Raw genomic sequence first — 17755 nt, forward strand, 5'->3', positions numbered from 1 at the left:
CCTCACACTTAGATTATCTAGGACTGTAGATTTTCATCTCTAAGAGAGATTGAACTTCTTCTCAGATAGATACATACACACATACATGCACAGACATTATTTTGTTTATTTTTCCCTTGTTCATAGCTTTTGGCAGCCTGTCTTTTGGGACGGTTTCTTGATCCACTCATAAAAAATCTTGCAAATGAATGAACCGGACCTCCATTATGCAGCTGTCAATTATTTTTTCCAATGTTGTTTTTGACTTTGTTTCTGGAATTCTTTCCAAACACAAAGTTTTTGTGGGGTTGTTTTAATTTTTTGGTAGTCAAATTTATTGATCTTTTTCTTTATGGTTTCTGCATTTTGTGTTCTACTTAGAAGTTTCTCTCTACTTCAAGACTACAAATATAGTCACCATAAGCACTTCTTAAAACAAAAATTTCAGAAAAGTAACAATGGTCTGGCAAGCCAAGCTGTTTCTGATACGAACAATAGCCAAAGCTGATTTTAAAATATGCTGCATGCAACAGAGGACCTCAGACTCTATGCCCACAGCTATTATGATCATGGCAGGTAGGAGACACTACAAGACACTACTCAGCTCTGCATATAGAAGCTCCCCAAATCCTGACTGCTCCAAAGGTCACACACATTTGCACACATTCTCTGGGTGTGTTCCTGGCTATATTTTTTTGTGAGACAGGCTCTCGCTCTGTCGCCCAGGCTGGAGTGCAGTGGCATGATCTCAGCTCACTGTAACCTCCGCCTCCTGGGTTCAAGCAATTCTCTGCCTCAGCCTGCCGAGAAGCTGGGATTACAGGTGCCCACCACCATTCTCGGCTAATTTTTGTATTTTTAGTAGTGATGGGGTTTTTGTCATCTTGGCCAGGCTGGTCTTGAACTCCTGACCTCGTGATCTACCCGCCTTGGCCTCCCAAAGTGCTGGGTTTACAGGTGTGAGCCACCACACCCAGCCTATATTTTTTATGGTAGCAGGAGATAGATAAAGATACCACACTAGAAAGATACGCTTGTTTAACACGGCCACTAGAGAGACTGTCTAAAGATGTACCATGCAGTGGAGAAGCAGCAGCCATGTACAAGGCCTATTACAAATGAATTAAACAGTGCAGGTTGTTTGTTTAGATCTTCTAGTATTAGTGACCATTTCTCTAGGATCAATCCAGAAGGGACTGTTCTGTGATAAAGGGAGACAGAAAACAAATTCATCAATCAACAAAAAGACCACCTTTGACAGAGTGGAGGTAAAACTCAGCATAGCTACACGTTACATAAAAACAGCAGTGTGTGTGTGTGCACGCGCAGGCGTGTGTGTGCCCATGTGGATGTTGAGATGTCCTTATTTGGCTTCAGGGAGAGTTCAGCTGAGGCAGACGAAGGAACTTCGAAAGCTAGTATAACACCATCTGCTGGCTTCTTTATGGTACTCTAATAGGTGTTGTTGTTTTTAACATATTTTTATTGTGTATGTAAAAATGAACAAGCATATGCAAGTATATTTTTCAGCTACATGCAAAACTATAAAAAATAACCTATTTAAAGTTCACAGATCCCAAATTTCTGGCTTATAGAGTAACTTCTCAATTCTAGACCCTGTGGCTACAGCCAAACCACAAGGTGATTGCTTAAAATGCAGATTCCTGGGGCCTATTCCCAAATATTGTAATCCAGCCTCTCTATTAAGGCCCCAGACATCAGCATTTTCAAACTTCCACAGCTGATCCAGGTTTGGGGATCACTGCTTTTTGGAAAATGTAAGCCAGTCTTTTGTAGCTGGGCTCCTATCTTTTTTTTTTTTTTTTTTTTTTTGAGACAGAGACATAGTCTCACTCTGTTGCCCAGGCTGGAGTGCAGTGGCGTCATCTCTGCTCACTGTAAGCTCCACCTCCTGGGTTCACGCCATTCTCCTGCGTCAGCCTCCCGAGTAGCTGGGACTACAGGCGCCTGCCACCACGCCTGGCTAATTTTTTTTGTATTTTTAGTAGAGACGGGGTTTACACCGTGTTAGCCAGGATGGTCTTGATCTCCTGACCTGGTGATCCGCCTGCCTCGGCCTCCCAAAGTGCTGGGATTACAGGCGTGAGCCACTGCACCCGGCTGCTCCCATCTTTTAATAGTGCCTCTTACACTGGCTTTCACATCTTTCCATTCACTGAGCTGGGAATGTGAGGATCATTATCTCAAGAACACAAATTCCATTCTTCCTGATGACAAGTCACGCTAAGTTTCTTTTGGGATGCTGAAAAACTTCACTCTGCCTAACATCTAAGCCTTCTCTCAAGGAGTGACTTAGATTGCGGAATTTTTGTTCATAAATCCACAGCAGTAAAAAAATGAAACTAACTCCTTCTTTGGCTTAGAGAAGGCTTTGATTAAAAAGCTGTCTTTTAGACTCTAAAATGAAATAAAAGGCAAGGTCTACTTTTTCTGTCCAGCAAGCAGATGATGACTTTTAGCAGGATAATCAGAAACTACAAAAAACACATAAAACAATGGTGTAAAGGTCAAATTAACATTCATTCATGCTGACTTGAGTAAGAAGACCAATGCAAAGTCAGACGAAAACGCCTCAGCTCATCATGTAGCCACTGAAAAATGAGTAGATTATAATCTCCATTAAGTAGCAAAGCAGGCATCAAAGACAGTTCAGCCAACTGTAGCAACTCACTCCATTGAGCTCATCACTGTTTTTAGGTTCAGGATGTTATTGGGCAAAATGTTTAGGAGTTTCTAAGCCACACTAATGTAATTTTCAACAATAAGGATTTATGGTAGTTACAGTACCCACAGCTTAATTTTAGCCAGATGCTTTTCCCAATTTTTAAATTTATTTTTAGTCTACCACATGGCTTCAGTGGAAACTGAAAATGATAGTTAGACACAGTTTTCATCACATATGCAGAGTGAAAATAGTAACACTTGGTGTATTTGGGGCAGATAATTTTTTAGGAAAGCAATGAAATGCACTGTAAAATAATATAGTTAAATATGCTAATGTTACTACCTAAAGTATCTCCAAGCAAGTAGGAAAGACCAAGAAGAGAGACATCATCAGCTACAATAGTCTAAATATACTGTAGCGTCTTGTTTAGCAGCTTTAATTCAGAAGACTCTAAAGTTCTTATGTAGAATCAGCTGTCAATGGATCAGTGAAGTGGTCAATATTTCTAAATTATTTTTATGAATTGTCATAATAACCCATTAAAGCTACAAAATACTTAAACTCTCTCTCTCTCTCACACACACACACACACACACAGACACACACACACACACACACACTGACTTTTTCTTTTTTTTCTTTTTTTTTTTGAGATGGAGTCTCACTCTCTCACCCAGGCTGGAGTGCAGTGGCACTACCTCTGCTCACTGCAAGCTCCACCTATTAGGTTTCACGCCATTCTCCTGCCTTAGCCTCCCGAGTAGCTGGGACTACAGGCGTCCACCACCACGCCCGGCTAATTTTTTGTATTTTTAGTAGAGACAGGGTTTCACTGTGTTAGCCAAGATGGTCTTGATCTCCTGACCTCCTGATCCACCTGCCTCGGCCTCCCAAAGTGCTGGGATTACAGGCATGAGCCACCGCGCCCAGCCACACTGACTTTAAAGGAAAGTAACCGACTTTAAAGGAAAGTAACTGACTTTGGTTTTGTTTGCTTTGTTTGTTGTCTGAATTTGCTCAGATGGCATTAGGTGGATGTGTGAGTAGGTGGGTAAAACCAATTGGTACAGGTGAGTGATCCCAGCTGTAACACAGAAGTTGTTAAGATGACCTCCAAACTCAAATCTTAAAGCAGAAGTGTCCAATCTTTTGGCTTCCCTGGGCCACAGGAAGAAGAAGAATGTCTTGGGCCACACATAAAATACGCTAACGATAGCTGATGAACTAAATAAAATACAGAACAACTCATAATGTTTTGAGAAAGTTTACGAATTTGTGAATTCAAAGCTATCCTGGGCCGCAGGTTAGACAAGCTTGCCCTTCGCCTGGAATAAGGTCTTCCTCCTCTGCAGTGGGAAATCTACGGAGGGGCATTCCTGCTAATCCAGAATCTGCATGTCAGGACATTCTGGAAGCCTTTTGCTTTGCACTAAAGTCAACCTCAAAAATTAATATCCCACAATCACATATAGCAGAAACGCAGAGCAAAGAGTTTGCTGGAAGTCAGAAGCTAAGATCAACTTACTGGAGATGTGGTTAATCGAAGGATAGTGCCATTTTTTATCTCATTGCGGTTCTGGAAAAGAAGAAAAAATCTTTGTAAATTTTCAAGTAGAAGCTTGGTAAAGAAGAGAACAAAGGCAAATATAATCTAGCAGATATAACAGGCATTCAGTTTATTCTCACTTGAATAATTTTTAATTATTTCTATAAAGGCTGTTAACTTTCTATCTGACAATATTCAGTACAAAGGAAGTGAATACAAACCCAAAGAAAAGGAATATGGGTCCCAAGTATAGCAAACAAAAAAAGTAATTTTAAAAGGTTATTAAGGGCATATGACCTGACTCCTACATTTCTACAATTCCTGACTCCTACGATTGCACTCCTACATATTTACTCAAGGGAAGTGAAAGCATATGTCCACACAAAAATTTGTGCACTAATGTTCACAGAAACATTATCTATAATAGCCAAAACGTAGAAACAATACATATGTCCATTACTTGATAAATGGATAAGCAAAATGTGGTCTATCCGTTCCACAGAAAATTAGTAAGTCATAAAAAAGGAATGAAGGGCCAGGCGTGGTGGCTCACACCTGTAATCCCAGCACTTTGGAAGGCCGAAGCAGGTGGATCACCTGAGGTCAGGAGTTTGAGACCAGCTTGGCCAGTATGGCGAAACCCCGTCTCTAATAAAAATACAAAAAGAAAAAATTAGCCAGGCATAGTGGCAGGCGCCTGTAATCCCAGCTACTCAGAAGGCTGAGACAGGAGAATTGCTTGAATCCAGGAGGCAGAGGTTGCAGTGAGCTGAGATAGCACCACTACATTCCAGCCTAGGCAACAAGAGTGAAACTCCGTCTTAAAGGAAAAAAAAAAAAAAAGGAATTAAGTACCAATACATGCTATAACATGGATGAACCTTGAAAACATTACACTAAGTGAAAGATGCCAGACACAAAGGCTTCATGTTATATGACTGCATTTGCATGAAATGTCCAGGATAGGCAAATAAATAGAATCAGCCATTAGGATAAATGGTTGCCTAAGGCTGGGGGAGGGAGGGAATGGGAATGACTGCTCCATGGGTCCAGTGTTTTCTTTTGGGGTGATGTAAATGTTTTGGAACTAGATTGGTGATGGCTGCACAACATTGTGAATGCACTAAATACCCCCAAATTGGACACCTTTAAAAGGTGAATCATTGTGACGTCTGTCTCAGTAAAGCTGTTTCTTTAAAAGGGTTATTAAGGAGTTTGGTTTCTTAACATTTGCTGATTCCTTTTGCATGTTGCCTTGAAGTTAAGCACAAACAGCATAAATAAGCAGCTCTCCAATCAGTCTGCCTCCATTTGGCAAGTATATTTGAAGTAAGTGTTATGAAGCTATCACTTAGCATCTGGTGTGGTTTGGCTTTGTGTCCCCACCAAACTCTCATCTTCAATTGTAATCCCCATGTGTTAACAGAGGGACCTTGGGGAAGGCAACTGGATAATAGGGGCAGTTTCCCCCATGCCATTCTCGTGAGAGTGAGTGAGTTCTCACGAGATCTGATGGTTTTATAAGGGGCTCTTTCCCCTTTGCTTCTTTCACACCCTCTCTCACCTGCTGCCATGTAAGACATGCCTGCTTACCTTTCTGCCATGATTGTTAAGTTTTTTGAGGCCTCTCCAGCCATGCGGAACTGTGAGTCAATTAAACCCTCTTTTCTTTATAAATTACCTAGTCTCAGGTAGTTGTTTATAGCAGTGTAAGAACAGACTAATACAGCATCTTTGACATTGAAGATAGAATTTCATTGGTGGTTTTATTTTCTTCCAGCAGAGTACACACCACACCCAATTTCCAGGAGGAGGCCTTCCAGGACTCACCGTGGTCGCATGCCCTACCTGGTATGCTGAAGTTGGGGGTTAATAAATCTGCCTTCAGGATCACTACCCTGCATAATTTAAGACGAGCCACAAGCTGGAGTTTGCTCAGGACTCAGCAGACACACTGAGGTGGTGGGAAATTTCTTGATGAAATGCCAAAGACATATAAGATTGCTTGCTTCCTCAGCCAATTCTGACGATTTTTTGGACAATGAATTTTCTAAAAGAACCACCCAAAAAGGGGCAGCCTTCAGGCCAGTATTTCTTCCCAAAGAAAAGCAGATCTGAACATTTCACACCAAGTGCAGGCAGGCCCGAAAACCCAACACCACCAGATCCAGGCCCTATGTGTGCAATTCAGCCCAGTGTAGAGCATCCCCTGATGCACTGGGTCACCTCCGGAGAGAGCTAGCTCATTGTTACTAGAAGCATGCAAACATGGTACTGAATGCCTCTTGGCAGGCAGGCTGAGATAGGAGCTGGGGAAATGAATTCAAGTCATTTTTAAAATCTCTTTTCAACTCTAAAATTCTATGACTCTGTGAGAAATGAAAGGAAGATGGCAAATACTAACAACAGAGTTCTAAGGAAGCCAAATACATAACATACCCTTTCTTTGCTCAAGCTCTAAACAACTTGAGAAAATAAGATGGAGAACTAAAAATCCTTTATATTAGTGATTATGGAGAACAACGCTCAGAGTGAGCCAGCAGACGTGCTGACTGAACCCTTGGGCCAGGCACACCTGTTCATGTAAGACTTAAGGCAGGTCCCTTCCCAAGAGGAAAGAGGTCTAGTTTATTCTTCCCAAATTTTCCAAACAGGAAGGGAAGAAGGCCCCAAGGGTATGAAGCGGCCAGGAGGGTTTAGAAACAATTTTTTTTTTCCCAGAAGGAGTCTCGTTCTGTCACCTAGGCTGGAGTGCAGTGGCACGATCTGGGCTCACTGTAACCTCCACCTCCCAGGTTCAAGCGATTCTCCTGCCTCAGCCTTCCGAGTAGCTGGGATTACAGGAGCCTGTCACCAAGCCCGGCTAATTTTTGTATTTTTAGTAGAGGCGAGGTTTCACCATATTGGCCAGGCTGGTCTCAAACTCCTGACCTTGTGATCTGCCCATCTCAGCCTCCCAAAGTGTTGGGATTATAGGCATAAGCCACCACACCTGGCCCAGAAATAATCTTTCTAATAATCATGGAAATTTGGAGCTGCAATGAGACATTCCTAACAAAAGCAATAAACTAACATTTATTGAAAGGAACTGGGCTCGGAGTTTTTGTTTCTCATGCTTATGTAACCAACATTATAACTCTATGCCCACGTTAAAGATAAGAAAGCAAAGCTGCTGAGAGGATAAGTTATTTGCCCAACATCATGGAGGAGGATGAGAGGACTCAAACCCAGGTAGTCTGACAACAAATGCTGTGCTCTGTCTGCCTGACAAAGGTAAGAGCCAGGCCTTGCATTTACCCTCAGAGGAAGAGTTCATCAGTCGCTCAACATACATGACAGCAAATAATCAAGACTGGATTCCTAACTGCTAAGGAATGCTCCTCGGAGTCCCAGGGCTTCCCTGCCACACCCAAGGTGATGTACTGGGTGCTGGGTGGGAGGAGGGCTGGAAAAGTTCCGCATTGGCCTCTAGGCTCCCTCAGGCACTCCTTCAAGGTTCACTCCTTCTTTTTTGGAACCCAAGCAAGATTGCTTTCAAGAAAGGGTCTTGATGATTGTTTGTTTCAAAGCAAAGCATGATTAAATTCTCTGATAAAGCTGGGCTCAATTCCTGCTCTGCTTCTCACCAGCTGAGTGGACTCAGTAAAAGCTACTTAATTCCTCAGACCTAAACTCTCTTCCCAAAAGTGGGAAGAACAATGCACTGTTAGAGGTGAATAAGAACAAGAGGAAACGGACGCAGGCACTGCATCTAGACTCCAACTGGCTCAAGAATGAGAGCAATTACTGCTGTCCCAGAGACAACAGCACCTTCTGCCTGTGCCTTCTCAATCAACAATTACATTTATCTTCTCTCCCTTCCTTCCCCCATGCTTTTAAATCAGTGTCTTGTACTTTAAATGAAAAGGAGATATGTAGAACTACTAAAATATGCATTAAAAATGTTAAGGTCCTGACAGAAAGGCAGAGCAAACTCAGAAACAAAGGCAATGGTAGACCACTGTTTCTGAGACTATATTCTATCCAGAAAGTCAACTGGATTACAGCTTTTTCACCATATGCTGATGACACCTTTGGCTCTGAAAGGCCTAACTTGGGATGTAAACTTCATTAAGAAAGAAAGAGGCTTGTCATTGTTCTGATTTCATAAATCCCACACAGGAGGCATAGTGCATAGCTTAAAAGTGATGGGGCCACCCAGACTGGACACACATTTCACTTCCGAGCGGGAAAACCTGGTGCAAGTGGCATGGCTGTCCTCATGTTCCCAGCTTTCTCATGTCCCCGGCTTCCTCCCATGGAAAATGAGGATACTGCCTATTTCCTAGGTTGTTCTGAGGACCAAGTGAGATAATCCATTTAAAGTCCTTAAAACAGCCTGGCAAATTGCAAATGCTAAAAAGAAATGAGATAGGAAGAGAGAGAAAGAGAGAGAGAGTTCGCTGTTTATTATTAAGCACAAAAATAACACGTAGGCCGGGCACGGTGGCTCAAGCCTGTAATCCCAGCACTTTGGGAGGCCCAGGCAGGCAGATCACGAGGTCAGGAGATCGAGACCATCCTGGCTAACACGGTGAAACCCCATCTCTACCAAAAATACAAAAAAAAATTAGCCGGGCGTGGTGGCAGGCGCCTGTAGTCCCAGCTACTCGGGAGGCTGAGGCAGGAGAATGGCGTGAACCCGGGAGGCGGAGCTTGCAGTGAGCCGAGATTACGCCACTGCACTCCAGCCTGGGTGACGGAGCGAGACTCCGTCTCAAAAAATAAAATAAAATAAAACACATAAAAAGCACACTGCTAGACCCTTATTTGTTTTTAGCTAGACCCTATACATAAATAATAAATAAAAATAATAGTACAATCTATGTTACACCAAGGACAGAAACGTCTACCCAGCAGGATAACAAATATTAGCAAATGCATACCTCTTCTGTAAGTTGACCGGCATGTCTAAGGAGGAATTCTGTCTCACAAGCATGCTTTGTATTGGAGGCAGGGAATCTCTCACCCACTTTTTTTATCCTATTCAGTCCTCAGTCTGTTTCAGAGGGAGCAGCCCTCGGAGCATCAATAAGTGCTGTCTATGTGCTTTTACTTATGCATCTTTTTTGTTCATTGGCTGTCTTCCTCACCCCTAGGATGTCACCTCCATGAGAGCAGATAGTTTATTATGTCTATATCACTCCCATCCAGAAGAGTGGACACCTATGACCTGGCACATGCCGGCACTCAAAAACTATCTGTTGAATAAATAGCTAAACTACTGTATGCCAGCCACAGATGAGGCACCAAGGCAGATACAAAGTTAAACAGGACTAATTCCTGTCCGCTGGGAATTGGTCAGTGACAGAAACTGACATATAATAACTGCATCTGTACCATGGCAGAGACCTGGGGGTGACCAGCACTGCATCAGCACATAGGTGTGATGCAGAGAGAGGGGAAGAACAGGGTGTGCAGCACAGGCTTTTAGAGGAGATGACATTCAAGATGGCCCTCTGGGCATAGGCAGGATTTCCCAGGGGAGAAGAGGAAACAGCACATCTCAAAGCTCTGAGGCATGAAAGGACAAGACATCTTCATGGAACAGAGAAAAGTCCTATGTGGTCGCTTAGAGCTGGAGATGCAGGAAGAAAAGGAAGACGGGACTCTTGAAAGGTAGACTGATCTTCCACCATTTAAGAAGAGGGAAGAGCAGGAGTAAGGGGTGGCACTCCAGCTCTGATTTGCTGTTAGCAAACATGTCATCTCTCTCTTGAGCCAGCTGGGCAATATGGCCGGCATATCTGTCCACAGATATTCTCCTAAGGAGAAATGCAAGGCTCAGGCTTTGGGAACAAGGGTCATGTGGCCCGCTTCATGAGAAAGGAATCCAGAGCCTCTGGGCTGAGAATAGAAACCATCTCCCTCACCCCCACACTCAGCTGGTTACTGAGAACGCACACCTTCCAATGTCTGCAATAACAGCACTTTGTATGCTTCCTCTGTCTTTACTGGCATAACTTTATTCTTCCAGAAGTCTCCTGCCTAGGCAGATGGCATGACTGCTCATTACAGGAACTTTCTGAAAGACCCAGAAACTCAAATGAAAAACATCAACTGTTTGTACCCTAAGGTTCTTTGAATCCCTTGCCTCAAAGCCTGCAGTTTCCACCAATCCAAACTGTTGTATCATGACCCATGCATGCTTTGAAAGACCCAACTAAACCAAACTTCCAATTCTCAATAAATTCTGACTTTACTTTCTGTGATAGCTTTTCCTTTTTTTTTTTTTTTTTTTTTTTGGCGGGGCTGGGGGTGGTGTGGTACTGGGTGGCCCTTTTTGATGTGTTAACTTCACTAGGCTACAGTTTCCAGTTATGCGAATACTAATCTAGATGTTGCTGTAAGGTATTTTGTATATGTGATGAAAGTCTATAATCACTTGACTTTAAGTAAGAGAGATTATCCTAGATAATCTCAATGGGCTTGTTTCAATAAATTGAAAGGCCTTAAAAACAGAGTTGTTTAGCTGGGCATAGTGGCTTATGCCTGTGGTCCCAGCTACTTGGGAGGCTGAGGTGGGATGATTGCTTGAGCCCAGAAAGTTAAGGCTGCAGTGATCTATGATCCCACTACTGCACTCCAGCCTAGGCAACAGAGCAAGACCCTGTCTCTTCAAAACAAAACAAAACACTAACAATAAAACAGAGCCGAGGGTACCTTGAAGGAACAAATTCTACCTGTGGACAGTAGATAGCAGATTCAGTCTGTGTCTCAGAGTTCCAGCCCACCCTGTGGATTTAGGGTTTTCCTAACCAGCTCCCATAATCCCATGAGGTAATTCCTTGCAGTCAGTTCCTATACATCTCCTACTGGTACTGCATCTCTAGTGGAGTCCTGATGAATTCACCTCTGCCTGAGACACTGACAAAGTGTTTCATGCTGATATTCTCCCTCAACAAGGTGAGCAACAAGGTCATCTCTGTCTTATCAGGGTCAATCCAACCAGCATTTAACTGAGGCAAGGTCACTTTTCTCAGGCCAGAGAAGAAACTGCATCAAATGACGTATGAGAGTGTGTGAGGGGCCAGGCGCGGTGGCTCACGCCTGTAATCCGAGCACTTTGGGAGGCCCAGGCCGGTGGGTCACGAGGTCAGGAGTTCGAGAGCAGCCTGGGCAACATGGTGAAACCCGGTCTCTAATAAAAACACAAAAAAATTAGCCAGGCGTGGTGGCGGGCGCCTGTAATCCCAGCTACTCAGGAGGCTGAGGCAGGAGAATCGCTTGAAACTGGAAGGTGGAGGTTGCAGTGAGCCGAGATCACGCCACTGCACTCCAGCCTGGGCAACAACAGCGAAACTCCGTTTCAAAAACAAACAAACAAACAAACAAACAAAAAGTGTGTGAGGGCTACTACCTCACCAGGGCATTTCAACTCAATGGGGAGACGTGGCTCTAAGGCTTTAAAATGGCAAATGGGAAGGGGATCATCATGGCGGACGGGAGGCAGGACTAGATTGCAGCTCCGGACAGAGTAGCGTGCGGAAGCTCGCTTTGTGGATTTTAGCTCCAGATAGACTGCAAGGACAAACCAGTAATCCCGAGAGGACCCACAGACCCTCTGAAGGAAGCAGACTGGCTCCTGCAATACCCGGGAGACACCCCAAATACTGTGAGTGCCCCAACTGTGGAAGTAGGAAAGGGAGACCCTCTTCTCCGAAAACACACCCCCACTAAAGAAGCTGAAGGTCTCTTTGCGGGAGAAGTTTCCGACCTTACCTGGAGCTGAGCCAATTTAGAGACGGGAGAGAAATACAGGGTAGAGGAAGCAGCAGAAAGGTCCTGGGAGCTCGCTGCGTCCCCTAGCAGGCCATTACCACCTGGCACCACAGGGATCCAACGGGAGGGTGGCCAGTGGAGCAGGGGGTATAACTCCACAGGGAGAAGGAAATCTGTAGCCGAACTTTGTATGGTGGGAGTGAGACTGGCCCTTCAGTTTGCATGGGAGCTGGGTGAAGCCTGTCACGGCCGGCCTTCCCCCACTTCCCTGACAACCTGCATGACTCAACAGAGGCAGCCATAATCCTGGAGGCATCACACTACCTGATTTCAAACTATACTATAAGGCCATAGTCACCAAAACAGCATGGTAGTGGTATAAAAACAGGCACATAGACCAATGGAACAGAATAGAGAACACAGAAATAAACCCAAATACTTATAACCAACTGATCTTCGACAAAGCAAACAAAAACATAAAGTGGGGAGAGAACACCCTTTTCAACAAATGATGCTAGGATAATTGGCAAGCCATATGTCGGAGAATGAAACTGGATCCTCATTTCTCACCTTTTACAAAAATCAACTCAAGATGGATTGAGGACTTAAACGTAAGACCTGAAACTATAAAAATTCTAGCAGATAACATCGGAAGAACCCTTCTAGACATTGGCTTAGACAAGGATTTCATGACCAAGAAGCCAAAAGCAAATGCAATGAAAACAAAGATAAATAGCTGGGACCTAATTAAACTAAAGAGCTTTTGCACAGCAAAGGGAACAGTCAGCAGAGTAAACAGACAACCCACAGAGTGGGAGAAAATCTTCACAATCTATACATATGAAAAAGGATTGATATCCAGAATCTACAACGAATTCAAACAAATCAGTAAGAAAAAAAAAATCCCATCAAAAAGTGGGCTAAGAACATGAATAGACAATTCTCAAAAAAGGATATAAAAATGGCCAAGAAACATATGAAAAAATGCTCAACATCCCTAATGATCAGGGAAATGCAAATCAAAACCACAATGCGATATCACTTTACTCTTGCAAGAATGGCCATAATCAAAAAAATAAAAAAAACAGTAGATATTGGCATGGATGTGGTAAACAGAGAACACTTCTACACTTCCGGTGGGAACGTAAACTACTATAGCCACTGTGGAAACAGTGTGGAGATTCCTTAAAGAACCAGAAGTAGAACTACCATTTGATCCAGCAGTCCCACTACTGGGTATCTAGCCAGAGGAAAAGAAGTCATTATTCAAAAAAAGATACTTGCACATGCACGTTTATAGCAGCACAATTCACAATAGCAAAATCATGGAACCAACCCAAATGCCCATCATCAACGAATGGATAAAGAAACTGTGGTATATATAAAAATATATATATAAATATATATATATACACACACATATGATGGAATACTACACAGCCATAAAAAGGAGTGAGTTAACAGCATTTTCAGCGACCAGATGAGATTGGAGACTATTATTCTAAGTAAATTAGGAATGCAAAAACAAACATCGTATGTCCTCACTGATATGTGGCAGCTAAGCTATGAGGACACAAAGGCATAAGAATGATACAATGGACTGTGGGGACTTGGGGGGAAGAGCGGGAGGGGGGTGAGGGATAAAAAAACTACAAATATGGTGCAGTGTATACTGCTTGGGTGATGTGTACACCAAAATCTCACAAATCACCACTAAAGAACTTACTCATGTAACCAAATACCACCTGTTACCCCAATAACTTATGGGAAATAAAGTGTGTGAGGAAGAAAAAAACAATGAGGCAATACCCCCCACAAACAGGGAAAGGGATTCCATGAAAGCAAAGAATGTATCTATCAACTCACAGTGCCAAGAAATTGCCACATGCCCTCTCTGGAAAATGAGTCTTTAATCTTTCATTTATCCTATGATCTTCAGCCCATCTGCTTTAGAATCACCATGGGTGAGTGTTAGAATGCAGATTTCTGGGGATTTCCCTCCATAGCTCGTGAATCAGGGGCCTGGTTTGCTGCATTTTTACTATGATCCCAAGTAATTCTGATGCAAAATGAAGTTCAGAATCGTCACAGTCTAAACTTTTCTAAGACTACACATGACATTTGGAATAAATATTCTGAATTTCAAGGTAATAAATAAAGTCTGAAGCAAACAAAACTCATGCCAGCTTCTCAAAAATGATGAGAAAAGCAGCAGAAAGAACATTTCTGCAGGGAAATGTCCTGACTGCACACAATGTACGAGGAGAATGACAAGTGGCCCAGTGAAAGCCAGCCAAAGCCCTGCTGTCATATTTACTCATAGCCAGCAGTTCCAGACTGTACCAGCCCCTGCCATTCACAGGCATCTCGATAGGATGTCTTTGTGTCTTTACTAGCTCATCGATTCAGCCTCCATGTGGATGGGTAATAAGATGGCACAGAAAAATGTCATTGTCATATGTTTCCCTCTGAAATCTGTTTTTCTCGTTATGCCAACTTTTCTACTTAGTCAGATAAATGAAGAATTATGCCTACTCAAAAATCCCAATTCTATTCTCCTTCCTGTTTTTTAGCAAGGACAACAGGAGGTCCACAGGGAGGAAGGCTTCCGATCCTCTGCGTTCAGGCCCTGTGGAGGGCAGGCAGCTCCAGCATCTTCCCTGGCTCTGTCTCTTCTCACTCCCTCTCCATCCTTGTCTGTGTCTGTCTCTTTCTCCAGATATGAGGACACCCTTACTTTGGATATGTTACTGTAAAATAATGCTGTTCTTCAGGTCCATTTCTTAATCATCACAGAAACTGTTTTTGCATGCAAGCCTGATCGCTTTTGTCCAACTGTGTGTCCATTTTTTTGATGTTCACATCTTCAGGCTAATGAAACAACTGAGGGCAATATATGATACGCTGGTTGCTAAGTTACACAGCAATGTCTCCAGACAGGACTACGGATCGACCGTTAAGGAAGCATATTAGAAATACCCTAAAATAAAATCCAGACACCACCCCCCAAAAAAAGAAACAGGGGAAAAAAGGCAGGTGGGAATGAGGAAGAAGGATAAGGAAGAAAAAGTGGTCAGCTGCTGTAAATGCCCATTCCCCATAACTGAGGCTCTAGCCTTGCAGGGGCTGCTCACCATCAGAAACAGCAGCCCCGCCACCCCATTAGAGTGGCAGCACTTCATTCCCACCCATTAATTTGAAGAATTTGTGGTTTGACTTCTTTTCTACTTTTTTCATGCTCCTAAGTGAGGATTCCATTTTCAGCTGTTGTCTTTTTCTCGCATCATTTCACTTTCCACAGGACCCAGATATCCTGTACCAAATTCCCAAAGCCAAAAAAAGAAAGAACAAGTATTAAGAGATATCTATTAACTACCTATTTGTGGTCTATAAACACAGAACATGAAGGTGAAGGGCCTGTTCTGCAATAAATGGTTTGCTCTCTCTGTATCTGTAATAAGATCTGGGTCAAAAGGAGCAGACAGAGATGGGTAGACAGTTCCCAGGAGCCCAGGGAATCTGCCAGGACATGGCAAGCCTGAGGGAAAGGACAGAAGGAGCCTGTCTGTCTCCTTCAGTGTTTTAATCAAGGACTTGTGGAAGATAGAGAGAAAGAACAACATGCTTTTCTGGAGACGACAAACTCGCCTTAAAGGGACATGCACAACCAGATGTCCACGACTGCTCAAAAAAAAGATTAAATTTAATTTAAAAAAAGCAGCCCCCTGTCCAAAGACACCAAGTTGCTTGCTTCCTTAGCCAATTTCACATGATAGGAGCCAGCACATACCTACTTTTTGCCTGGTGTCTAGGCTGGGGACTAAAAGCTCAGGGTAGAACCCAGTTCATGTCCACATCTCTAATACCCCAGGATAAGAATTACTGACTCTAATCTGTTAAACAGTAATGGAATGTAATTATGTAGATGTGAATCTTGGACTTGGCCTTGAAGTTAGGTGTAGGCAGTCCCCTTAAGCACAGCAGCTGAGGGGGGCCATCTTTGCATTTCAGACAGTGGGGCAGCCCCAGCAAGGGCATTCCCTTTGGGATCCACCATTATGATTCCATGGGGAAGGCCTCAAGCCTCCTGCGTCCGGCCTCTGCTCTCCCTACCAGGGACTGCTTCAAAGCAGCTCTGCCTATCCAAGCTTCTGGCAACAGAGACACGTCTATAGTGCTGCACAGCCAGCGGCCAGCTGCTTTCCTCTGACAAGTTTATGCACCATCCGTAGGTTGTGATGTCCCTGTGGTGGCCATGCCCTCTTTGAAGAACCCTGGGGGACAAGCAATGCCTGCTCTTGGTCTTTAGTTCCTCAACTGCCCACTCTTCCTCAAACTGGAGGCCACAGCTTCTTTTCTGCAACTGCTTCTTCTGGACCCATAAGAGTTCAGAGATAGTGTGAGCACTAGGGGAGTATGATACACATTAATAAAACCTCTCGTGGGACAGGTGCTGTGCTGGGAGGACAATGAGGAGTTAGGGAGATGGAGCAACAATGGTCTGGTATCTGGGAGAAGCAGAGGACTGGGAGGAAGGAAGCCCTGGTTGGCCCTGACCAACTTACTTCCCACGTGACCCTGGGCATGTCAATTTGCTTCAGACCCTCAACAACTGAATGGAGGCAACGGACCCAGGGCCATAGGTCAGTTCTCTCCCCTCCTCTTTCATTTGCATTGCCATAAACAAAGAGGAAACATTTACAGCTTTTGAGCAAGATTACTGATGTGATGAAGGGGATGTTTTAGGGAATGAATTTGTTGAAGCAGTGAATGAGATGGGAAGGGAATGCGTTCAGAAGACTGAGCGAGGTGAGGGAGGACTTCAGCAACACACTACTCCCTCCCTCCACGGCAGAGCTTGGCCCTTATTACATCAGACTGCAGGCTCCAACCTTGACATCGCTGGCTCTGAGCATCTCCCAGCCTCAGAGTTAACAACCCAGCAAACAAGGCCAAGATTCAAAAGGTTAAGGAGTAACAAGTTCTATAACAAGGCTATATGCCTTTGCTCCCATATACAACAACTAGGAGAGTCAATAGGATGGTTTTGTAACATATGACTAAGGCCTTTGAAATGTTCAAATTCTATGAATTTATCCTACCAACATATCAGAGATGCAATCAACATTTTATGAAAGATGTTTACTGCAAAACGGTTTAAAGAAAAAAAAAAGCTAAAAGCAAGCCCAAATATTCCAGTTATTCATTTATTGTCTCTCAACTCAAAACCATTCTTGGCCCTGCTTTCTGACAGGTTGCCAGCTGCGGCAATGTGACACTTCACCAATAGAGGGCACTGGAGTGATTCTGCCTGGGGAAAGGACATTCCCTTTGGGATCCACCATTACTATTCCATGGGGAAGGCCTCAGGCCTCCTGCACCCGGGCTCTGCTCTCCCTACCAGGGACTGCTTCAAAGCAGTTCTGCCTACCCAAGCTTCTGGCAACAGAGACACGTCTATAGTGCTGCACAGCCAGCTGGCCAGCTGCTTTCCTCTGACAAGTTTCTGCATCACCCGTGGGTGGTGATGTCCCTGTGGTGGCCATGCCCTCTCTGAAGAACTCTGGGGGACGAGCAATGCCCGCTCTTGGTCTTTAGTTCCTCAACTGCCCACTCTTCCTCAAACTGGAGGCCATAGCTTCTTTTCTGCAACAGCTTCTTCTGGACCCATAAGAGTTCTCTTTTACTCACAACTAACCAGCTTCTACTAGTTGTCAATCATTTACATTGGAATATACCCTGTTTAAATAACAGTATGGTTTCTGTATCCTGACTAGATGCTG

At 43.7% G+C, this 17755-nt stretch overlaps 1 protein-coding gene across 14 annotated transcripts in view, besides 2 other annotated features; it reads right to left on the bottom strand.

Annotated features, from left to right (window-relative positions):
* The window catches only part of ELMO1 (engulfment and cell motility 1), a 596421-nt gene that overhangs the window by 414736 nt on the left and 163930 nt on the right, over nucleotides 1-17755 (bottom strand). For all 14 annotated transcript variants that reach the window (NM_001206480.2, XM_011515654.3, NM_014800.11 and 11 more), the window contains one exon: nucleotides 4191-4241. In NM_001206480.2, coding sequence (NP_001193409.1) covers nucleotides 4191-4241 — 51 coding nt within the window. The remainder of the gene's footprint in view (nucleotides 1-4190; nucleotides 4242-17755) is intronic.
* Nucleotides 11159-11661: an enhancer, noted in NCBI's record as "H3K27ac hESC enhancer chr7:37318405-37318906 (GRCh37/hg19 assembly coordinates)". NCBI's record gives its function as "activates a minimal SCP1, AML or CMV promoter by ChIP-STARR-seq in primed H9 embryonic stem cells {active_cell/tissue: H9 hESC(primed)}" and the evidence as "EXISTENCE:reporter gene assay evidence [ECO:0000049][PMID:30033119]".
* Nucleotides 11662-12161: an enhancer, noted in NCBI's record as "H3K27ac hESC enhancer chr7:37318907-37319406 (GRCh37/hg19 assembly coordinates)". NCBI's record gives its function as "activates a minimal SCP1, AML or CMV promoter by ChIP-STARR-seq in primed H9 embryonic stem cells {active_cell/tissue: H9 hESC(primed)}" and the evidence as "EXISTENCE:reporter gene assay evidence [ECO:0000049][PMID:30033119]".

The sequence above is a fragment of the Homo sapiens genome, chromosome 7 (assembly GCF_000001405.40).
Source record: "Homo sapiens chromosome 7, GRCh38.p14 Primary Assembly".
Classification (NCBI taxonomy): domain Eukaryota; kingdom Metazoa; phylum Chordata; class Mammalia; order Primates; family Hominidae; genus Homo; species Homo sapiens.